The following is a 25584-nucleotide window of genomic DNA, read 5'->3' on the forward strand; positions in this document are numbered from 1 at the left end:
CAATGAGCTGAAGGCCTAACTACACAAAAAGGCTGACCCTCCCTGATCAGAGAACCCTTATTACCTGACAGCCTTCAAACAGGAACATCAGCTTTTTTCCTTCCTTGGAACTCAAACTGAAACACTGACTATTCCTGGGTCTCAAGCCTGTTGGTCTTCAGACTAGAACTAAATTATTGACTGTCCTAGGTCTTGAGTTTGACAACTCATCCTGTGGAAGTTAGGATTTGTCAGCCTCCATAATTATGTTAGCCAATTCTTTTATATTTTTATATACACTCATCCTGTTGATTCTGTTTCTCTGCAGAACCCTGACTAGTACGATGAACTTCAGTTATTTAACATTAATGATGGAATCAATTTCACTAATTTTTGTGAGATTTAAATAGCTATATATGTCAGACTTTTAAAGTAGTATAATTTATTGTCATTAATTGCTTTCGTACTTCTATGTTAAATATCCTAGAGAAGTCACATCAACTGAGAATTCCAAAGTTAAGATTTGACTTAAATTGAGATAGCTGGCATCATCTTATCTTCCCTGAAATTAATATGTTTGTCTCAAGTTGTAATATGAGAGAACAAATGGCATTAGGTATACTGTGTGTGGAAAAGTTGTTCTCTTTCCCCAATATACTATGTTCATGCTACAATGTGAGTCTTGGGGTGAAGCCAAAAGTTGAGTTGTGTAGCAAGGATGAAAGAGCACCCCCAAGATATACTTGCAATCTAGAATTTGAGGGGATGCAAGGGTATTGAGAGATGTTTGTTTCTAGTCACAATGGCCACTTCGAGGTTCTTTGGGGACAGGGTTTCTGATACCTCATAGGTTGCTTTTCTGTGTGATATTCCGGGGCAAGAAACTCGTGAACTGTGCTTTCTTGTTGTCACTTCTCCCTGTGTTTGCAGAGTAATCCCCAGAATTCTAATATATTCCAATTTTCCAATGCAAGATGGGTACAAAGATGACTAAATCAATATGAACAAGGAAAGAAAGTTCAGAATCCAGAAGAATTAGACATTCCGGGATACCTCTTCAGCCTCAGGACCTGGACAGTAATAGGTCAGCTCAGTCTGGTTAGGATTAAAAAAATAATGTTTAACCAGTCCTGTCTTTATCTTTAAGGGTATGTGATCTGTAGCCATGTTGTTTGAAGTTTTGACTTTTTATTTTTAAAAATAAGTTTAGAGCAGATTAAAGAACAAAAAACAAGACCCAACCATGTTGTCTACAAGAAGTCTGCTTTAAATGTAAAGGCACAGATTAAAACATGGTATCTCTTTTCTATCCTTTTGCTAATAATAAAAAGCAAGCTGGGAGAGTTCTTTCCAGGAGGCAGAGCAAGATGGAATAGAGAAGGCACCACCAATAGTCCCTACCACAAGGACACCAATTTAACAACTATCTATACACACAAAAAGCACCTTCATAATAACAAAAAAAAAAAAAAAAAAAAGTCAAGTGAGCACTCATAGTACCTGGTTTTAACTTTGTGCACTGAAAGAAGGACTAAAGAGGTAGAAAAAAAGTCTTGAAGTGCTGAAGCCACCCCCAACTTCCTCTGGCAGTGGCAGTGTGGTGAGCATCTCCAGGTGCTGGGGGAGGGAGAACTCAATTGTGAGGCAATGAACTAAGTGCCATCCTGTTAGAGCAGACAGGACAATCGTCCCAGACTCAGTTGGTGCCCACCCACAGAGGAAACACTTAAACCATCCCTAGACAGAGGAGAATCACCAATCCCAACAGTTAGAACATGAGTTCATGCAAATCTCGCCACTAAGGGCTAAAGTGCTCTGGGAATCTAAACTTGAAAGGCAGTCTAGGCCATGGGAACTGCAACTGTAAGATGAGCGCTAGTGTGGAACCCGGCCTGGAGAGAGTAGACGGTGGGGAGAACATGACCTACTGAGACACAAGCCGGGGTTGCTAACAGTGCTTGCATCACTCCTCTCTCCCAGGCTGCACAGCTCACAGCGACAACAGACCACTTCTTTCTGTTTGGAGAGGAAAGAAAAAAGGGTGGGGAGGACTGTTTTGCATTTTGGATACCAGCTCAGCCACAGTAGAATAGGGTACTGGTCAGAGTCATAAGGCCTTAGCTCCTGGATGACATTTTTAGATACACCCTCGGCCAGAAGGGAACATGCTACCTTAAAGGAACCAGTCCTGGCAGCATTTATCACCTGCTAACTGAAGATCCCTTGGGCCCTGAATAAACAGCAGCAATACCCAGGTACTATGTCAAGGGACTTTGAACCTCAGACATGCTGCCTTCAGGTAAGACTCAGCCCATTACCAGCTGTGGTAGCTATGGGGCAAAACTCCCATTTGAGAAAAGCAGAAGGTAAAGTAAAGCGTGCCAGCTCAGACATGGTGGGAGGGGGTAGAGTACAAAGTAGGCTCTTGGGGTCCCCAATTTCAGGACTTGATGGAGATGACATTTCTGGACCTGTCCTGGGCCAGAGGGGAGCCCACTGCCCTGAAGAGCGAGTCCCAGGCCAGGCAGCTTTCACCACAAGCTGACTTAAAAGCCCTGGGTCCTAAAGCAGACCTTGGTAGTGGTCTGACAGCACTTTCCACGGGCCTAAGGTGGTGGTAGCCATGAAGTGAGGCTCGTCTGCCTTTGGAAAGGGGAGAGAAAGGTGGGAAGGACTGCATCTTCTGTTTTTGGTGCCAGCTAGGTTGCAGTACAATTAGAATACCGGGTAGACTAAGGTTTTTGACTCTAGTCCCTGACTTTTGGACAGTACCTCTGGACCCACCCAGGGCATCTTGCTTCCCTGAAGGGAAGGAGACAAGTCTGCTGCTTTACCAACCAACTGTAGAGGCCCAGGACCTTAAACAAACATAGGTAGTAGCCAAGGAGTAGTTATAGCAGGCCTTGGGCAAGACCCAGTGCTGTACTGGCTTCAGTTCTCATAGTTGTGGTAGACACAGGAATGCTTGTGTCACTCAACCCCAAGCTTTACTTGGCTCAGAAAAGGCAGAGGTTGTAGTGAGCTGAGATCACACCACTGCACTCCGGCCTGGGTGACAGAGCAGGAGTGTCAAAAAAACAAAAGAAACAAAAACCAAAAAACAGACTATTTGGGAGAAAGAAGAGATGACAGTCTACCTGGTAATTAAGAGAATTCTCCTGGATCTTTTCCAAGCCCATCAAGGTGATATCTCTATGGGTCTTTAAGAACCACAGCCATACTAGGCTTAGGATGACCCCTAAAGCAGATACCACTTAGATCACAACACCCAGATCCTTCTGAATATCTAGAAAGCCTTTCCAAGAAGTATGGGCACAAACGAGCCCAGACAGTGAAGACAACAAATACCTAACTGTTCAATGCCCAGATATCTAATAGATATTAGCACCAATATCATTCAGGAAAACATGACCTCACCAAATGAACTAAATAAGGCACCAGAGACCAATCCTGGAGAAACATATGTGACCTTTCAGACAATTCATAATAGCTGTGCTCAAGAAACTCAAATTCCCAATGACAACAAAATTCAGAGTTTGATAAATTAAAAAGATTGAAATAAGAATCAAGAAGAAATTCTGGAGCTGAAAAAATGTGATTAGCCTACTGAAGAATGCAGTCTTAATAGCAGAATGGATCAAACAGAAGAATTAGTGAGCTTGAAGAAAGGCTATTTGAAAATACAGTCAAAGGAGAAAAAATAAAATAAAGCAGGTCTATAGGATCTAAAAAATAGCCTCAAAATGGAAAACAGAACTATTGGCCTTAAAGAGGAGGTAGAGAAAGAAATAGGGGTAAAAAGTTTGTCCAAAGAAATAACAGAACTTCCCAAACCTAGAGAAAGCTATCAACATCCAAGTACAAGGTTAAAGAACACCAAGCACATTTAACCCAAGCATGACTACCCTCAAGGCATTTAATGATCAAAATCCCATTATTAGGCATTTATTATCTTTGATAAAGATCAGGGATCAAACAAGGATTCTAAAGGCAGAAGAGAAAGTATACAATGGAGCTTTCATGCATCTGGCAGCAGACTTTTTAGTGGAAACCATACAGACAAAGAGTGGCATAACATGTTTAAAGAGCTGAAGGGAAAAGACTTATTCCAGAATAATATATTCAGCAAAAATATCCTTCACATGTCAAGAAGAGAAAGGTTTTCCCAAACAAAAGCTGAGGGATTTCATCAACACTAGACTTGTCTTACAAGAATGCTAGAAGAATCCTTCAATCAGAAAGGAAAGATGTTAATGAGCAAGAAGAAATTATCTGAAGGTACAAAACTCACTGGTAATAGTAAATACACAGAAAAACAGAATATTATTACACTAACTGATGTGGAGACTACTCTTATCCTAAGTAGAAGGACTAAAATGTGATCAAAAATAACATATCTTTAAGAAATAGTACAATAAGATAGAAATAAAAAAATAAAAATTGAGCAGATGACATGGTCTGGCTGTGTCTCCACCCAAATCTCATCTTCAATTGTAGCTCCCATAATCCCCATATGTTGTGGGAGGTAATTAAATCATGGGGGTGGGTGAGTTTTTCCCATGCTGTTCTTGTGATAGTGAATGTCTCATGAGATTTGATGGTTTTATAAAGGGCAGTTCTCCTGCACATGCTCTCTTGCCTGCTGCCATGTAAGATGGGCCTTTGCTCCTTCTTTGCCTTCCATCATGATTGTGAGACTTCCACAACTACGTGAAACTGTAAGTCCATTAAACCTTTTCTTCCCCTATAAGTTACCCAGTCTTAGGTATGTCTTTATTAGCAGTGTGAGAACAGACTAATAGAAGAACAAAGTTTTAGTTTTTCTTATTTATGTGAACAGGATTAAGATATCATTGGCATAAAAAATGGGTTGTAAAGATAGTATTTACAAGCCTCATGGTACCTTCAAACCAAAATCCTACAATAGAAACACAAAAAGCACTAAACTAAATCATATTACCAGAGGAAAAAATTACTGGCTGGGCATGGTAGCTCATGGCTGTAATCCCAGCACTTTGGGAGGCCAAGTTGGGTGGATCACCCGAGGTCAGGGGTTCTAGACCAGCCTGGCCTACATGGTGAAACCCTATGTCTAGTAAAAATACAAAAAGTAGCCGGGCATGGTGGTGGGCACCTGTAATCCCAGATACTTGGGAGGCTGAGGTGGGAGAATTGCTTGAACCTGGAAGACAGAGTTTGCAGTGAGCCAAGATCATGCCACTGCACTCCAGCCTGGGGCGACAGAGTGAGACTCCACATAAAAAAAAAAAAAATAGCTTCAGTAAAGTGAGACAGGAAAAAAAGGAGGAAGAGAAGACTGTAAAACAAGAAAACAGCAAGATGGTAGGAGTTAAGTCCTTACTTATCAATAGCATTAAAGATAAATGGACTAAACTCTAGTCAAAAGAGTGTCCGAATGGATGAAAAAAACAAGATTGATCTGTTGCCTAGAAGAAATGCTTTATAAAGACAGACTGAAAATACAGAGATGAAGAGAAATATTTCATGCCAATAGACACCAAAAAGAGTGGGGATAGTTAGACAAAGTAGATTAAGACAAAAACTGTAAGAAGCAAAGGTTGCTATATAATGAGGTCAGTTGTGCAAGAGGTTATAACAATTTTAAATATATATGCAGCCAACACTGAAGGACTCAGATACGTAGAGCAAATATTAGAGCTAAAGAGATATAGGCCCCAATACAATAATAGCTGGAGACCTTCAACACCCCACTTTCAGCATTGGACAGATCCTCCAGACAGAAAAAGAAACACTGGACTTGATTGGCACTATAGACCAAATGGACCTACCATATGTTCTAATAGATAACATTTAGAGAACGTTTTGTGCAATGACTACAAAATACACATTCTTTTCCTCAGCACATGGATTATTCTCAAGGAGAGACCATATGTTAGGTTACAAAACAGGTGCTAACACATTCAAGAAAGTTGAAATAATGTTGTGATAGTTAACAAGTGTCAACTTGATTGGATTGAAGGATGCAAAGTATTGTTCCTGGGTGTGTCTGAGGGCATTGCTAAGGGAGATTAACATTTGAATCAGTGGACTTGGAAAGGCAGACCCACTCTTAATGTGAGTTGGCACCATCTAATCAACTGCCAGTGTGGCTAGAATAAAACAGACTTGCTGAGTCTTCCAGACATCATCTTTCTCCTGTGCTTCTTTCTGCCCTCAAACACCAGACTCCAAGTTCTTCAGCTTTTGGACTCTTGGACTTACACCAGTGATTTACTAGGGACCTTCAGCCACAGACTGAAGGGTACATTGTCACCTCCCCTACTTTTGAGGTTTGGGGACTTGGACTGGTTTCCTTGCTCCTCAGCTTGCAGACAGTATATTGTGGGATTTCACCTTGGGATCATGTGAGTCAATACTCCTTAATAGACTCCCCTTCATATAGACAATTATCCTATTAGTTCTGTCTCTCTAGAGAACCCTGACTAATGCAAATGTCAAGCATCTTCTGGCAGCTGTGAACTAAAACTAGAAGTTAATAACAAGAAGAATTTTAGAAACTATACAACTACAGGGAAATTTAACAATATGCTTCTGAATGACCAGTGGTCAATGACAAAATTAAATTGAAAAATTTCTTGAAACAAATAGAAACAACGTGCCAAAATTCACAGGATACAGTGAAGGCAGCATGAGGGAAGTTTATAGCTGTAACTGCACACATCAAAAAAGATGAAAAACTTTAAAAAAGTCAAATGATGCATCTGATTAATAGCCAGAATAGATAAGGAGCTCAAACTCTATAGGAAATAAAATCTAATAACCTGAACCAAAAAAGGGCAAAAGATTTGAATAGACCTTTCTCAAAAGATGACATACAAATGGCAAACAGGCATGAAAAGGCACTAAACATTATTGATCAGAGAAATGAAAATCAAAACTATAAAGGGATGTCATCTCACCCCAGTTAAAATACCTTACATAAAAAAGACAGGCAATAACAAATGCTGGTGAGGATGTGGAGAAAAGGGAACCCTCATTCACTGTTGATGGGAATGTAAATTAGTACAACCACTCTAGAGAATAGTTTGGAGGTTCTTCAAAAAACTAAAAATAGGGCTACCATATGGTCCAGCAATCCACTGCTGGGTATATAGCTGATGTAATTTTGCTGTGTCCCCACCCACATCTCATCTCAATTTGTAATCCCCACATGTTGAGGAAGGGATCTAGTGCGAGGCAATCGGATCATGAGGGCAGTTTCCCTCATGCTGTTCTCATGATAGTGAGAGAGTTCTCATGAAATCTGATGGTTTAAGAGTGTTTGGCAATTCCCCCTGCTTGCTATCTCTTCTGCTGCTTTGTGAAGAAGATGCCTGCTTTCCCCATGCCTTCTGCCATAAGTTTCCTGAGACCTCCCCCAGCCAGGCAGAACTTTTAATCAATTAAACTTCTTTCCTTTATAAATTAACCAGTCTCAGCTATTCTTTATAGTAGTGTGAAAACAGACTAATACAATATCCAAAAGAAAGGATATCAGTATATTGAAGACGTCTTTTTTATTCCCATGTTTCTTGAAGCACTATTCACAATAGTGAAGATTCAGAAGCAACCTAAGTGTCCATCAACAGATGAATAAAGTAAGTGTGGCACATATAAATGAATAGTGCTCCATTGTGTGTAGGAATCCTGTTACTTGCAACAACATAGATGGAAATGGAAATTCCATCTATGGTGAAAGAGGACAGGCACAGAAAGACAGATATTGTATGTTCTTAATTATCTGTGGGATTGGGAAGGTTACAGCAGGGGTAGGATGAAGGTGGGGATGGCGAATGGGTAAAAAAAATAGGATGAATAAAATACATTATTTAATAGCACAACAGGGTGACTAGTTAACAATAATAGTACATTTTAAAGTAACTAATTGAATTGTTTAACACAAAGGATAAATGCTTGAGGCATTGGATACCCCATTCTCCATGATGTATTACGTATTGCATGTCTGTATTAAAACATCTTATTTACCTTATTAAAATATGTACCCTACTATGTACTCACAAAAATTAAAAATTAAAAAATTAAAAGAATCAATCTGGAATAGCTATATTAACTCAAGTCAAAGCAAACTCCAGAGAAATAAATATCAGGCATAAAAAGGAATGTATGATAATGAGGTCAAGTCTATGAAAAGACAAATTTTTAATGTGTATGAACCCACAATAGATCAAGATATGTGAGGCAAAAAACTGAACTGAAATAGGTAAATCCATTATTAAAGGTTGAGATTAATACCTTTCTCCCTCAGTAATGCATCCAGCAGATAAGTGTGTGGGGAAAAAAATAGAAAAGCCATAGTTAACACTGAACATATTTTAACCAACAGTATTCAATCAAAATGCATATAATATATTTAAACAGAAGAATACACATTCTTTAAGCTCTAATAGAATATTCACCAAGTAGACCACAGTTTGGGCCATAAATCATATTGTGGACATTAACATTGATTAACAACTTCTCTACTACTGATTCAATTTCTGAAGTTTGATACTGGTCTTTTCAGGGTTTCAATCTCTTGATTCACTATGAATTTTCTAATTTGTGTGCCTGAAGACATTCATAGTAGTCTCTGGGGATCTTCTGTATTTCTGTGGGATCAGTTGTAATATTATCTTTGTTATTTGATTATGCATATTTGGATCTCTTAATCTAGCTAAGGGTCCATTAGTTGTGTTTTCTTCCCCCAAAGAATTCTTGGGTTTATTGATCTTTTGTTTGGATTTTTTTATATCTCAATTTCATTAGGTTCTTCTCTAATGTTTTTCTTCTGCTAGCACCGGGAATTTTTTTTTCTAGTCCTTTTTAAGTACAAAGTTAGATTGTCAGTTTGAGCCCTTTGCAACTTCTTGAAGGTATTTAGGGCTATAAACTTTTCTCTTAACACTGCTTTGGCTGCATCTTAGAGATTTTGGTAAGCTGTATCCCCATCTTTGTTAATTTCAAAGAATTTTAAGTTTCTGCCTTAATTTAGATGTTTGCTTAGGAGTTATTGAGGAGTAAGTTGTTTAGTTTCCACGCATTTGTGTAGTTGAGGGTTCTTGATATTGGTTTCCATTTTTATTGACCTGTGATCCAACGGTGTGCTTGGTATGATTTCATTTTTTTGAATTTGAGACTTGCTTCATGACCAAGCATGTGGTTAATCTCAATATGGTCCATGTGAAGATGAGAAGAACATATTCTATGGTTATGGGGTATTCTGTAGATGTCTATTAGGTCCAGTTGGCTGAGTGCTGAGTTTAAGTCCAGAGTTTGTTAGTTTCTGCCTCAATGATCTGTCTAATGCTATTGGTGGGGTGTTGAAATCTCCGACTATTGTTTCATGGTTGTCTAAGTCTTTCTGTAGGCCATGTAAAGGAGAAAAGAAAGCCCTTATATGCTGTTGATGAAATGCAAATTGGTATTGACCATTCTATCAGTCTGTCCTTACACACTGCTATAAAGTGCTATCTGAGACCGGGTAATTTAAGAAGAGATTTGACTCAGTCTCACAGATTTAACAGGAAGCATGACTGGGAGGCCATAGGAAAGTTACAATCATGGTGGAAGGCAAAGGGAAAGCAAGCACTTTCTTCACACGGCAGGAAAGAGTGTGAAGGCAAAAGTGCCACACACTTTTAAGCCACCAAATCTTTTGAGTACTCACTATCACAAGAACATTGCGGGAGGGGGGTGGGGGGAAATCAGCCCCCATGATGCAATCACCTCCCAGCAGGCCCCTCCTCCAATTTGACATGAGATTTGGCCAAATCCAAACCATATCAGCCATTATAGAAAACCTCTTGAGGAACGTCCATGTAGTTTACAGAACATAAGACCCAGGAATCCCTCTACTTGGTATTTACTCAAAGGGCATGAAATCAGCACCTTGCAGAGATAAGCACACTTCCATGTTCATAAACTTGCTATTCACAATAGCCAAGACATGGAATAAACCTATGTGTCAATTGACAGATGAATGGCTAGAGAAGTTGTAGCATTATTAGATACTGCCATTTGTGATGGTAGCATGATGTCCCTCAAGTTCATGTAAGTGAAATAAGTCAGACACAGAAATATATGTGAAATTTAGAAAATGTCAAAGACAGAAATGGAGTGTAGAACTAGTTACCCAGAGCAGCGAAGGAGAAGAAACAGGGAGATGTAGGTCAAGGGTACAAAGTTGCTGCTATAAAGGATGAATAAGCCTAGAGAGCTTTTGTATAACACGAGGCCTGTATTTGTATAATGAAATATTTACTAATTTTCTAAGAGTAGATTTTTGGCATTCTTACCACAAGGACAGGTAATTCTGTGAGATGATATATTGTTCATTTGGCTGCAGTAATAATTTCATTATGTATCAGAACATGTTTTAAAACTTAAAATATGGATAAAAACTTCCTGTTCAGATGGTAAAATTTTATATTTACCCTGAATTTCATAGGGGTCACTAAACCAAAATGAAAATGAAAGTGGGGAGGAGCATTCCAAGATGGCTAAATAGGAACAGCTCCGGTCTGCAGCTCCCAGAGTGATGAGTGCGGACGATGGGTGATTTCTGCATTTCCAACTGAGGTATCTGGTTCATCTCACCGGGACTGGTTGGACAGTGGGTACAGCCCACGGAGGGTGAGCTGAAGCAGGGCAGGGCATCACCTCACCTGGGAAGTGCAAGGGGTCAGGGGATTTCCCTTTCCTAGCACCAAGGGAAGCAGTGACAGATTGTACAGGGAAATCCGGGCACTGCCACCTAAACACTGTGCTTTTCCAACAGTCTTAGCAAACGGCAGACCAGGAGATTATAACCCGTGCCTGGCTCAGCAGGACCCACGCCTACGGAGCCTTGCTCGCTGCTAGTCTGAGATTCAACTGTGAGGCGGCAAGCCTGGCTGGGGGAGGGGCGTCCACCATTGCTGAGGCTTGAATAGGTAAACAAAGCTGCCGGGAAGCTCCAACTGGATAGAGCCCACTACAGCTCAAAGCAGCCTGCCTGCTTCTGTACACTCCACCTCTGGGGGCAGGGCATAGCTGAACAAAAGGCAGCAGAAAATCCTGCAGACTTAAACGTCCCTGTCTGACAGCTCTGAAGAGAGCAGTGGTTCTCCCAGCATGGTATTTGAGCTCTGAGAACGGATAGACTGCCTCCGCAAGTGGGTCCCTGACCCTTGCATAGCCTAACTTGGAGATACTTCCCAGTAGGGGCCAACTGACATCTCATACAGCTGGGTGCCCCTCTGAGACAAAGCTTCCAGAGGAAGGATCAGGCTGCAATATTTGCTGTTCTGCAGCATTTGCTGTTCTGCAGCATTTGCTGTTCTGCAGCCTCCACTGATGATACCCAGGCAAACAGCATCTGGAGTGGACCTCCAGCAAACTCCAACAGACCTGCAGCTGAGGGACCTGACAGTTAGAAAGAAAACTAACAAACAGAAAGGAATAGCATCAACATCAACAAAAAGGACATCCACACCAAAACCCCATCTGTAGGTCACCAAAGAACAAAGGTAGATAAAACCACAAACATGGGGAGAAACCAGAGCAGAAAAGCTGAAAATTCTAAAAACCAGAGCACCCCTTCTCCTCCAAAAGATCACAGCGCCTTGCCAGCAATGGAACAAAGCAGGATGGAGAATGACTGATGAGTTGACAGAAGTAGGCTTCAGAAAGTCGGTAATAACAAACTTCTCTGAGCTAAAGGAGGATGTTCAAACCCATCGCAAGGAAGCTAAGACCTTGAAAAAAGATTAGACGAATGGCTAACTAGAATAAACAGTGTAGAGAAGACCTTAAATGACCTGATGGAGCTGAAAACCATGCAAGAGAACTACGTGATGCAGTCACAATTTCAGTAGCCAATTTGATCAAGTAGAAGAAAGGGTATCAGTGATTGAAGATCAAATGAATGAAATGATGCAAGAGAAGTTTAGAGAAAAAAAGAGTAAAAAGAAAGGAACAAAGCCTCCAAGAAATATGGGACTATGTGAAAAGACCAAATCTACATTTGATTGGTGTACCTGAAAGTGATGGGGAGAATGGAACCAAGCTGGAAAACACTCTTCAGGATATCCAGGAGAACTTTCCCAACCTGGCAAGGCAGGCCAACATTCAAATTCAGGAAATACAGAGACCACCACAAAAGATACTCCTCGAGAAGAACAGCCCCAAGACACCTAATTGTCAGATTCACCAAGGTTGAAATGAAGGAAAAAATGCTAGAGGCAGCCAGAAAGAAAGGTCAGGTTACTCACAAAGGGGAACCCATCAGACTAACAGCTGATCTCTCAGCAGAAACCCTACAAGCCAGAAGAGAGTGGGGGCCAATATTCAACATTCTTAAAATAATTTTCAACCCAGAATTTCATATCCAGCCAAACTAAGCTTCATAAGTGAAGGAGAAATACAATCCTTTACAGACAAGCAAATGCTGAGGGATTTTGACACCACCAGGCCTGCCTTACAAGAGCTCCTGAAGGAAGCAATGAACATGGAAAGGAACAACCGGTACCAGCCACTGCAAAAACATGACAAATTGTAAAGACCATCGACGCTAGGAAGATACTGAGTCAAATAACGGGCAAATAACCAGCTAACATCATAATGACAGGATCAGATTCACACATAACAGTATTAACCTTAAATGTAAACAGGCTAAATGTCCCAATTAAAATACACAGAGTGGCAAATTGGATAGAGTCAAGACCCATCAGTGTACTGTATTCAGGAGACCCATCTTATGTGCAAAGACACACAAAGACTCAAAATAAAGGGATAGAGGAAGATCTACCAAGCAAATGGAAAACAAAAGCAGGGGTTGCAATCCTAGTCTCTGATAAAGCGGACTTTAAACCAACAAAGATCAAAAGAGACAAAGAAGGCCATTACATAATGGTAAAGGGATCAATTCAACAAGAGCTAACTATCCTAAATATATATGCACCCAATACAGAAGCACCCATATTCATAAAACAAGTCCTGAGAGACCTACAAAGACAGACTCCCACACAATAATAATGGGAGACTTTAACACCCCACTGTCAATATTAGACAGATCAATGAGACAGAAGTTTAACAAGGATATCCAGGACTTGAACTCAGCTCTGGACCAAGCAGACCTCCTAGACATCTACAGAACTCTCCACCCCAAATCAACAGACTATACATTATTCTCAGCACCACATCGCACTTATTCCAAAATTGACCACATAGTTGGAAGTAAAGCACTCCTCAGCAAATGTAAAAACAGAAATCACAACAAACTGGCTCTCAGACCACAGTGCAATCAAATTAGAACTCAGCATTAAAAAACTCACTCACAACGGCTCAACTACATGGAAACTGAACAACCTGCTCCTGAATGACTACTGGGTACACAACAAAATGAAGGCAGAAATAAAGATGTTCTTTGAAACCAATGAGAATGAAGACACAATGAACCAGAATCTCTGGGATACATTTAAAGCCATGTGTAGAGGGTAATTTATAGCACTAAATGCCCACAAGAGAAAGCAAGAAAGATCTAAAATCGACACCCTACCATCACAATTAAAAACTAGAGAAGAGCAAACAAATTCAAAAGCTAGCAGAAGACGAGAAATAGCTAAGACCAGAGCAGAACTGAAGGAGATAGAGACACAAAAAACCCTTAAAAAAAAAAAAGTCAATGAATCCAGGAGCTGTTTTTTCTTTAAAAGATCAACAAAATTGATAGACCGCTAGCAAGACTAATAAAGAAAAAAAAAAAAAAAGATGCGGGGCGCGATAGCTCACGCTTGTAATCCCAGCACTTTGGGAGGCCGAGGCGGGCGGATCACCAGGTCAGGAGATCAAGACCATCCTGGCTAACACAGTGAAACCGTGTCTCTATCAAAAATATGAAAAAATTAGGCAGGCATGGTGGCGGGCGCCTGTAGTCCCAGTTACTCGGGAGGCTGAGACAGGAAAATGGCATGAACCTGGGAGGTGAAGCTTGCAGTGAGCCAAGATAGTGCCACTGCACTCCAGCCTGGGGGACAGAGCGAGACTCTGTCAAAAAAAAAAAAAAAAAAAAAAAAAAAAAAAAAAAAAAAAAAAGACAAAAATCAAATAGACACAATAAAAAATGGTAAAGGAGATATCACCACCAATCCCACAGAAATGTAAACTACCATCACAGAATACTATAAATGCCTCTATGCAAATAAACTAGAAAATCTAGAAGAAATGAATAAATTCCTGGACACATACTCCCTCCCAAGACTAAACAGGAAGAAGTTGAATCCCTGAAAAGAACAGTAATGGGCTCTGAAATTGAGGCAATAATTAATAGCCTACCAACCAAAAGAAGTCCAGGACCAGTTGGATTCACAGCCAAATTCTACCAGAGGTACAAAGAGGAGCTGGTTCCATTCCTTTTAAAACTATTCCAATCGATAGAGAGGGAATCCTCCCTAACTCATTTTATGAGGCTAGCATCATCCTGATACCAAAGACTGGCAGAGACACAACAAAAGGAAGAATTTTAGACCAATATCCCTGATGAACATCGATGTGAAAATCCTCAATAAAATACTGGCAAACCGAATCCAGCAGCACATCAAAAAGCTTATCCACCATGATCAAGTGGGCTTCATCCCTGGGATGCAGGGTTGGTTCAACATATGCAAGTCAATAAATGTAATCCATCACATAAACAGAACCAAAGACAAAAACCACATGATTATCTCAATAGATGAATTTTGTCAAAGGCCTTTTCTGCAACAGTCCTTCATGCTAAAAACTCTCAATAAACTAGGTATTGATGGAATGTGTCTCAAAATAAGCTGTTTATGACAAACCCACAGCCAGTATCATACTGAGTGGGCAAAAACTGGAAGCATTCCCTTTGAAAACTGGCACAAGACAGGGATACCTTCTCTCACCACTCCTATTTCAACATAGTGTTGGAAGTTCTGGCCAGGGAAATCAGGCAGGAGAAGGAAATAAAGGGTATTCAAGTAGGAAAAGAGGAAGTCAAATTGTCCCAGTTTGCAGATGACACGATTGTATATTGAGAAAACCCCATCATCTCAGCCCAAAATCTCCTTAAGCTGATAGGCAACTTCAGCAAAGTCTCAGGATACAAAATCAATGTGCAAAAACACAAGCATTCCTATTCACCAATAAGAGACAAACAGAGCCAAATCACGAGTGAACTCCCATTCACAATTGCTTCAAAGAGAATAAAATACCTAGGAATCCAACTTACAAGGGATGTGAAGGACCTCTTCAAGGAGAACTATAACCTACTGCTCAGTGAAATAAAAGAGGATACAAACAAATGGAAGAACATTCCATGCTCATGGATAGGAAGAATCAATATCGTGAAAATGGCCACACTGCCCAAGGTAATTTACAGATTCAATGCCATCCCCATGAAGCTACCACTGACTTTCTTTGCAGAATTGGAAAAAACTACTTTAAAGTTCATATGGAACCAAAAAAGAGCCTGCATTGCCAAGATAATCCTAAGCAAAAAGAAAGTTGGAGGCATCAGGCTACCTGACTTCAAGCTATACTACAAGGCTACAGTAACCAAAACAGCATGGTACTGGTACCAAAACAGAGATCTAGACCAATGGAACAGAACAGAGCCCTCAGAAATAACACCACATATCTACAACCATCTGATCTTTGACAAACCTGACAAAAACAAGCAATGGGGAAAGGATTCCCTATTTAATAAATGGTGCCAGGAAAATGGGCTAGCCATATGTAGAAAGCTGAAACTGGATCCTTTCCTTACAACTTACACAACAATTCAAGATGGATTAAAACCATAAAAACCATAAAAACCCCTAGAGGAAAACCTAGGCAATACCATTCAGGACATAGGTATGGGCAAAGACTTCATGACTAAAACACCAAAAGCAATGGCAACAAAAGCCAAAATGGACAAATGGTATCTAATTAAACTAAAGTGCTTCTGCACAGCAAAAGAAACTACCATCTCAGTGAACAGGCAACCTACAGAATGGGAGAAAACTTTTGCCATCTACCCGTCTGACAAAGGGCTAATATCCAGAATCTACAAAGAACTTAAATATACAAAAAAAAAAAATCAAACAACCTCATCAACAAGTGGACAAAGGATATGAACAGACACTTCTCAAAAGACAACATTTATGTAGCCAACAGACACATGAAAACAATTGGTCATCAGATAAATGCAAATCAAAACCACAATGAGATATCATCTCACACCAGTTACAATGGTGATCATTAAAAAGTTAGGAAACAACAGGTGATAGGATGTGGAGAAATGGTAACACTTTTACACTGTTGGTGGGAGTGTAAACTAGTTCAGCCATTATGGAAGACAGTGTGGTGATTCCTCAGGGATCTAAAACTAGAAATACCATCTGACCCAGCAATCCTATGAGTGGGTATATGCCCAAAGGATTATAAATCATGCTACTATAAAGACACATGCACACGTATGTTTATTGTGGCACTATTCACAATAGCAAAGACTTGGAACCAACCCAGATGTCCATCAATGATAGACTGGATTAAGAAAATGTGGCACATATACACCATGGAATACTATGCAGTCATAAAAAAGGATGAGTTCATGTCCTTTGTAGGGACATGGATAAAGCTGGAAACCATCATTCTGAGCAAACTATTGCAAGGACAGAAAATCAAACACTGCATGTTCTCACTCATGGGTGGGAACTGAACAATGAGAACACTTGGACACAGTGTGGGGAACATCACACTCCGGGGCCTGTTGGGTGGGGGGATGAGGGAGGGATAGCATTAGGAGAAATACCTAATGTAAATGACGAGTTAACGGGTGCAGCAAACGAACACAGCACATGTATACATATGTAACAAACCTACATGTTGTGCACATGTACCCTAGAACTTAAAGTATAATTTAAAAAAATGAAAGTGGGACTGAGGAGGTTCAGAAGTCAGTTATGGAGTTGAACGGTTTGTCTGCAGAGTCTAAGTCTTCTCCATGGATACCAGAAACTGGGATGAAGTAGAAAGCTTATCCAGGTAGAAAAATCCTCAATGATGTTCTTCCATAAGTTTCAACATGTCTTTAAGTAAGGAGGAATAAAAGGGTGACATTTGCAGCTAATGCCATATGGTCATGAGCTTTTGACAAAAGATGGAAGAACAAAACTCTGGAAACAGTAATAAGTAACCCCAAACTTATCTGTTTTGTATTGAGGTGCATGAGACAGAGATTGACCACCATTGAGGGCTAAGAGTAAGTACTGTTCTTGATTAAAAAGCTCCCCCTTCCCCCACTGTTGTAGTTTTGGAATGTTTGACATTTTATAAGTATTTATGGAAGAGTTCCAGAAAGTTGAGAACACAGTACACGCAATGTAAGGAAGATGTAGAATTTGAACCTAGGGCACACAAACCCAAAACTTTTGCTTTTAACCACTGTGGAAATCTTAGGCAAATTGCTTAGACTGTACTTCACATCTCTGATCTGAGAAGTGGAGATTAAAGAAGTTCACATCTCATTAAAAATTAGCTGGGTGTGGTGGCATGTTCCTCTGGTCCCAGCTGCTTAGGAGGATGAGCTTCAGCCCAGGAGGTTGGGGCTGTGGTGAGCTATGTTCGTGCTGCTGCACTCCAGCCTGGGCAGCAAAGTGAGGCCCTGTTTCAAAAACAGTTGTTCTCTCATAGGGTTGTTCCTGCAGAAGGTAAACTCACAAAAGCAATCAGACATTACATAAAGAAGACATTTGTATATACGTTTATAGCAGCCCAATTCACAATTGCAAAAATGTGGGACCAGCCTACATGTCCATCAGCCAACAAGTAGATAGAGAAAATTGGTGCGTATACATACATAATATGGGATACAACTCAGCCAGAAAAAGGAGTGAAATAATGGCATTTGCAGCAACCTGAATAAAGTTGGAGACCCTTGTTCTCAGTGACAGTAATTCAGGAATGAAAAACCAAATATTGTATGTCCTCACTTATAAGTGGGAGCTAAGCTATGAGGATGCAAAGTCATAAGGATGATATAATGGACTTTGGGGACTCCGTGAGGAAGGATGGGAGGGAGTGAGGAATAGAAGGCTACACACTGGGTCCAGCATTTACTGCTTAGGTGACAGGTGCACCAAGTCTCAGAAATCACCACTAACCCATGTAACCAAAACCCCCCGCTTTCCAAAAATTATTGAAATAAAATAAATGAGACTTAGGAATGGAGATCGGGGTGAAAAAGGAAGTCTAAAGATTTAGGCATAACTTGGTCAAAGACAAATCTTGTAAGTGTCAGAACTGGCACTGGGGCTGTGGTCTATACTCAACCATGGCAGTATACCACTTCTGTCATGGACAAGAATGAGCTCAAGTTTGATCTCAGAGCCAGAATCCTGGATGTACTTCTTGTGAGGCTGGGAAGGTGGCTTTAAGAAAAATGCTTTCCCTATTATAGCATCAGTATTCCCATTTGAGGGAAATTCGCAGGCTTCAGAGATGTATATAAGTCCCTCAGTTGGTATTTATATCTCCATGTACTCCAATTAAGCATCTGGGCTAACAAGTTTAGAATTTTATTCTAGAATTGAACATGAACAATGTTTATTTCAGAGAAATTATAACACTGAACTGATAAAGTTATAGACTGAGAGTCCAATATTCAATATTCAACTTGTTGTTGTTGGTATTGTGTTGGTCTGACTTTTCATCTTTGATTGACCCACATATGGGAGACCTAGCTATAAAATAGGATTGAATGGGAAAATCTGAGTAGTTGCATTCAAATGAAGGTTTAAGATATTTAACGACACCAAGCTCTATGTTTGTGTTGCAGAGCCCCGTCAGCCAGTGGCATAATCTCATTTGGGGGCCAGGGTGCCCTCTCCTGGACAGTGTTAGAATGGGGACAGTGTTAGAATGTCAATGTTTGCTTCTGATTCAGATCTGTTTCCAAGACTGAATATGTATCTCTTCTGTGTAACTTAAGATATTTTCCTATAGTGAAAGGTAACACTTTTTCCTGCACATCTGAGGCATATCTCCCTTAAGTTGGAACAATGAGGTTTTGAAAGTTTGTGCATCAAATTAAGGGATGAGGACTTACTGTAACCTTAAGGATAATTCAACAAGTACGTTGGTTTATTGGCTACTTTTAGTTTTCAAATGTTGTACAAGGCATCCAGATACAGAATAGACAGATACTAAGTTTGTCAAAGCAGAGTTTATCCACTGGAGGTGGTAAATGCTAGATATGAATCTGGATATGAATTTCAAAATCTAGATATGAATCTGTATAGACTGACAGCCAAATAAAAAAGTAGGACTAAGGGTACAGCATACATGCAGGATAGAAGGATCCTGTATATTTTGGCCACTACCAGCAATTTCACACAGAATGTAAAATGTAAGCTTGGGGAGCAGGTTGCAAGCTTCTGGAAGTTCCCAGCTTCTCCCGAGGTTCTATAGAGTTAGAACCCTCTGAAAGGGGAGTGGAAGTGAAAATGAGATCCTTCACATAATGATTCTACTGCATTAGCCCCCTTCCCTGACTATATTAGCTCCTAGCCTGAAAGAGAAGGTCAGGTTGTATCTCCCAGGCTTAGAGCTAGCCCTTCCTGAAGACACAGGGACAGCAGTAATGTTGATAATGCTGTTTAAGCATTTGTCATGTTTGTCTTACTAGGCCCTTCATATGCAATATCCAAGTTATAACTACTATCCAAACAGATTATTCAATTTATGCTTGAAGAACTGGAAATGATGTAACTTGCTTGAGGTCACATAGTGAGTATGTAACTGGGCTAGCTTTGCAAACTCAAGCCTTTGAAGCTTCAGAGGCCATGCCTTGTCACACATCCTGAAGTGTGACGCTCCAACCCATGAACATCCTATTGGAACACTTGAAGAAAAAAACTGCTTCTTCAGTTTTTCACTGAGAAAACGGATGTTAGAGAAGGTTTCATTCAAAAAGATGTGAAGGAGATCTACCATTCCACCCACAAGGAGAGTCCTTTCCACAATATAAACTGGAGTGGGGGAAAAATCTCTTCAGTATCTAATTTTGAAGAGTTGCTATTCAGTTGTCTTAAATAATTTAGGACCCTACCATCACCCCCTAATACTGTGAAGAGATTAGACTTTAGACAGATAGGGGACTGGAGTTCAGCCTGAGTCCCAGGAAACTCGTCCCCACCCTGGGAAGGTCTTTGATTTCTACTTGGTGTCCCTAGAATAGCTGCAGATACTAGGAAGGCCAGATGCAAGAAACAAGGGGACTTGGATACAAGGGATTATGTCTCAGTTAATGGGTCTGTTCCTTCCTTCTGGACCAACCCTGGCATGCCAGGAACAGCTGTATCTTAAGTTTAGATTCTGTGCTCATCCTTCTAGGACAAAGCCTGCTATTAACTTTCTATATTGAGGAAAGTGGGGAGGGCTCAGATCCCAGATGGAATTCCCTAGACACCTGAGCAGAATGCTTATAAGTGCAAGGTCTCTGAGGCATTTGTAGAGCCCCAGGCTCTTACTGACATGACCCAGCCCAGGTAAGAACATCTTACAAAGAATGATATAGAAAAAGAATAGGGGTCATAGGGAGGAGTTCCCAGCTTAAGAATGAATAGACCTTGGGCAGTCAACTTAGCTCATACTCCTTTAAGTCTAAGGCAAGACTCAGGAAAGGCATTCTCTGGGAAGGGGATTTAGAATGGGTAGAGTTCCCACAGAGCCACAAACAAGGAGACTGATGAAGCCTCTAGTTCACTAATGACAATACAAGACCTTTGAATACATCACCATGTTCTTTAAATTTTATTTTATTTTATTCTTATTCAACAGAGCCAGGTACTGTGCTAGCACATGACTTCTAGTAAGACAGGCAAGATCACCACTCTATTAGAACTTATTCTGTTTGGGGAAAGATACATCAGAAGACAATTCAGAGAACTATTCAGACAGTACAGAAATAGGGCGTGGAACCAAGAATCAAGGCAAGGTTCATTAAAGTGGATATCTAAGCTATGGCAAGGTGAACATGTAAGGATTCACTAGGCGAGAGAGGAAGGAAGAACGTCATTTCAGTATCAGGAAAGAACATGTATTCTTCTCAGAAGCAAAAGGACATGTTGCAGTTGGGAAACACAAATGCAGTCTCACTGGACGGTAGTAAGCAGGATGAGGAATGGTAAAAGCCATGGCAGGTTATGGTGGATGTGTTTGGATGGATCACTCAGATGAGAGGTTGCTTTGCAGAATGCTTATGCTCATAGCATCCTTGCACAGAAGCTGCAGTAGACTACTGTATTTAAGGTATGAGAACTGCTCCTGACAAATGAGGTATGAATTAAAGAGCTACTCTCAGTGTTAGGATCTTAGGGGAAAAGACAGGGGTCAAAAACTTATCCCAAGAGTCGGTCCTCCCCATGTAGTAGCTGAAGTGCATCTCTCTAGTCAAGGATATGCTCTTCAGTTTCACAACATGTTCCCAGAAATGAATAGGAAGAGATGAAATGGGGGTATCCATCAAGAAACAGCCCTGTATGTTGTCAGGTATGAGGAAGGAAAGCGAGAGAAGATAAATTCTACCTTCTCCAGAGTTCCAGGTCAGTCCAGAGGGGACATCTGACATGGCTGGAACAAGGTCTGTGATACCAGAGACACCTATTGGATTTCATGAAAAGTCACTTCCTCTTGTGTCCACAATTCACCAAGCAATTCAGATCACAGATGAGACCAGTTCACACTTGGTCTCATCTGTGATTTGTGCCTGTAAGTTCCTCCTATAACATGATCTCTGCACAAATCTAGAAGGGAGCCATTTGCCAGGGAAAAAGTGAAGGGATTCAAATTGCATTAGAAGGAAAGATGGACCCTGAAACAGCTTTCTCACTAATATAGGAGGGGTAATAGCTGTACTTAGGAATCTTGGCAACAGAAAAATCCACTTGGTTGAGTCCTGTTAATTTTTCCATTCAAGAACTCTACATTTCTGGAGTAGAACAAAACTTTTCCACATTACAGCTTTGCTTAGTAGGACATATTCAAGCTATAAAAGCCATTTGATTAGACATACAAGTAAAATAGAAAAGTCTCCCTTTATTGTAAATCTAAATATCAGAGGAAAGATTATCTAGCCCCCGATTGTCATGAGTTTATAGCTCTTTTGCCTTTAGGATTAGTTCTGTGACTTGTCAACTTTCAGATTCTGTGTCCTACTGAGGAAGCAATCTTCTTGTCAAGAGATAATACTGGGTAAAGATTATATACTGTTGGGATCTGGTCTGATATATTCATGAAATAACAAGTGGCATAGTCAAAGGGGCAGTTGAAGGGACTATCTGCAGAGGCTTGACAAGAGTTAAGGAACTTGACAAGGGATGGGGAGGCACTGGGACTAACAGTAAGCAGCACAACTTAGCCTAGAACTGACCGGGCAAAGCAGGGCATGGTTACCAGAAAACACAAAGGGTCACTTCAGGAGCTGGGGCCTTTGGTAGAAGACCAAGACACTGCCAAACATAGCTGGTAGGAAGGGAACTAGAGAGTAGGTCTCTAATCTCTGGTTTTACCCTCATATCTCCTGTTAGTGCCTCACATTGACTGAGCCCACCTGGAAAATAGAGGACAAGGGAATCTGGGTGATACAGCCCATGAGTAAAATATAGCATCTGAGACATAGAACAGGGATCTATGCAAATGGAGAGTGCAAGTGAAGAACAACCAGAATATAGGTTAAGGAAGCCAAGCCACCTCCTTCCAACTAAATCCATCACTCCATTCTACCTGATGACTTCACAGGCCACTTCCTGTGTACTCCTTTCCTTCCCAGCCCCAATGACTCAGCCTTTTTATTTTCCCTATTTTGCAGTTATTGCCAACATTATGTCTACTTGTCATAATCTTTGAGAATCTGAAGGTGAGCCCAGCTTATGGAGAGGTTTTATGGGATAATGTCAGACTTACAGCAGTCACCCTCCCAAGCACCACAGCTTCCTGGAGATAGACATTCCAGAGTCTTTTGAAGTTTGAACATTTTTGGCTTTGCATGTTAGTCTCAACAGAATAAAGAACTAATGCTTAGTGTTACTGTCAGGCCCTGCATTTTCATTTAGTCATGACAACTTCTCTAGGCCATGGCTTTAAGTTTGTTGCAAAGTGTAGTTAGTTGTATTTCACTAATGGGATAAAGCAGTTCACCTAAGCTCTCACTGCCAAGATCTGAAGACAGATCTAGAAAAGTCCTAAGCCCAGATTGCTGACTATTCTGTAATCAACCTAACTAGGCTTAAGATGTACTGCATTAAACTTCTTACACGCTCCTCACCTTTCGTATTCCTCTGATATATAAGGAACACATTCTGGTATAGTCTTTTAGACAAAGATTTAAAAAAAAAAAATCAGACAACACATTGTTTTCATGTATTTGCTTTAAATTGACATCTTTTTAGTGAGTTGCTCTGGACTTCAAGTAAGGGTGTTTCATGGCCAAACATTTGTCTTAGGCTTCATGCTACTCTGCACTGAATGTCTTCTTCCTCCCTGCTGATAACCCTCTGTTTCTGGAGCCTTTTCTTCATATTCAGTCTTCATGAAGGGAGGAGGCCCTTGCCAGGCTTTGCCTTTGGGTATCAAATACGCATAAACTGAGCTTTGGTCAGCTTTCATCTTTCAGAAATCACTTTGTTTCTATACCCTCTGGAAGGTGTCATCTTTACCACCCCAAGTCTCTGCCTTGTGATTTTGGCCTGCAAATTAGACATTTCAGCTCATCCAGTAGTCAATTCTGGTCCCAGGCTTAAGCTTTGGTTTACCATAGAGCCTAGATAGTCCCAGGTGTCTCTGACCCTCTGACACTTCAGTGCATCTCCTTTTCTTTCAAGTAGCTGTACACTCTAAAACCTTCCAACATGATCTCAAGCACCACCTCATAGCCTACCTGCAGTGGTAAATGACCAGATAGTTATTTGCTTTAGGTCAGTTCATTCACTGATGCAAGAATATCACTCCTCGAAGGTCATACTGCAAAAAGATGTATTTCATTCAAATGAGTGTTTTGGCTTGTACTTTCTAAGATTTTGCGAACATTTTAGTATAATGTGACACTGACGTTCTAGAATTTCTTCTAAAGATGACTTATCTAACATCTAGTCAGTGACCCTATTATTATAGGAACTTAGAGTAAAATATTGTCTTTTATTTCCAGGAAAAACATCCTGCTGCGTTTAGTGGTACAAGTGAGAAGGTTCACATATAAATAGCCATGCTCACTTTTCATAATGTCTGCTCAGTACCCAGCTCCTTCTGGCTCACTGGCATCCCAGGGCTGGAGTCCCTACACGTCTGGCTCTCCATCCCCTTTGGCTCCATGTACCTGGTGGCTGTGGTGGGGAATGTGACCATCCTGGCTGTGGTAAAGATAGAACGCAGCCTGCACCAGCCCATGTACTTTTTCTTGTGCATGTTGGCTGCCATTGACCTGGTTCTGTCTACTTCCACTATACCCAAACTTCTGGGAATCTTCTGGTTCGGTGCTTGTGACATTGGCCTGGACGCCTGCTTGGGCCAAATGTTCCTTATCCACTGCTTTGCCACTGTTGAGTCAGGCATCTTCCTTGCCATGGCTTTTGATCGCTACGTGGCCATCTGCAACCCACTACGTCATAGCATGGTGCTCACTTATACAGTGGTGGGTCGTTTGGGGCTTGTTTCTCTCCTCCGGGGTGTTCTCTACATTGGACCTCTGCCTCTGATGATCCGCCTGCGGCTGCCCCTTTATAAAACCCATGTTATCTCCCACTCCTACTGTGAGCACATGGCTGTAGTTGCCTTGACATGTGGCGACAGCAGGGTCAATAATGTCTATGGGCTGAGCATCGGCTTTCTGGTGTTGATCCTGGACTCAGTGGCTATTGCTGCATCCTATGTGATGATTTTCAGGGCCGTGATGGGGTTAGCCACTCCTGAGGCTAGGCTTAAAACCCTGGGGACATGCGCTTCTCACCTCTGTGCCATCCTGATCTTTTATGTTCCCATTGCTGTTTCTTCCCTGATTCACCGATTTGGTCAGTGTGTGCCTCCTCCAGTCCACACTCTGCTGGCCAACTTCTATCTCCTCATTCCTCCAATCCTCAATCCCATTGTCTATGCTGTTCGCACCAAGCAGATCCGAGAGAGCCTTCTCCAAATACCAAGGATAGAAATGAAGATTAGATGATTACTATTTTCTTCTCTCTCAAATAAGCTCATGGAGAAGGTGTTTAAATATGGTAGGCTGCTTCCCATTAGGAACTTTACAAGCAGTTTGAAGTATTAGGCACTGTGCTCTCCAACTTTTGTAGTTCCAAAGGAATTCTAAGAAAGTATACAACTCTAAGTCCTAAAAGGTGGAAAATACAAAACTTACAACTAAAGGATATTTGAGCTACAAAGAAGGTAAACCAACCGTGATAACGACAAGCTGCTAATATTTAGCATTGTTCATGTAATTCTTGAAAATATCCTGACATGAGGTATTATTGTTTATATTTTATGAGGAAATAGGACAGAACACCCTTGCTTTATGAACTACATACAGTTACTTAAGCTGCCTAGCTCCACATTTGG

General features: G+C 40.8%; 1 protein-coding gene across 1 annotated transcript, besides 1 other annotated feature; it reads left to right on the forward strand.

Annotated features, from left to right (window-relative positions):
• Window positions 2440-2940: an enhancer, noted in NCBI's record as "NANOG-H3K4me1 hESC enhancer chr11:4544619-4545119 (GRCh37/hg19 assembly coordinates)". NCBI's record gives its function as "activates a minimal SCP1, AML or CMV promoter by ChIP-STARR-seq in primed H9 embryonic stem cells {active_cell/tissue: H9 hESC(primed)}" and the evidence as "EXISTENCE:reporter gene assay evidence [ECO:0000049][PMID:30033119]".
• OR52M1 (olfactory receptor family 52 subfamily M member 1) lies at window positions 24242-25195 on the forward strand. Its single transcript, NM_001004137.1, has one exon. The coding sequence runs from the start codon at window positions 24242-24244 to the stop codon at window positions 25193-25195; it is 954 nt and encodes a 317-aa protein (NP_001004137.1).
• The last annotated feature ends 389 nt before the right edge of the window (window positions 25196-25584 follow it).

This window comes from Homo sapiens, chromosome 11 (genome assembly GCF_000001405.40).
Source record: "Homo sapiens chromosome 11, GRCh38.p14 Primary Assembly".
In the NCBI taxonomy this organism is placed as follows: domain Eukaryota; kingdom Metazoa; phylum Chordata; class Mammalia; order Primates; family Hominidae; genus Homo; species Homo sapiens.

Bases quoted from the DNA above. Each gene is read 5' to 3' on its own strand.
- OR52M1 (NM_001004137.1), top strand. From the start codon at position 24,242: ATGCTCACTTTTCATAATGTCTGCTCAGTACCCAGCTCCTTCTGGCTC.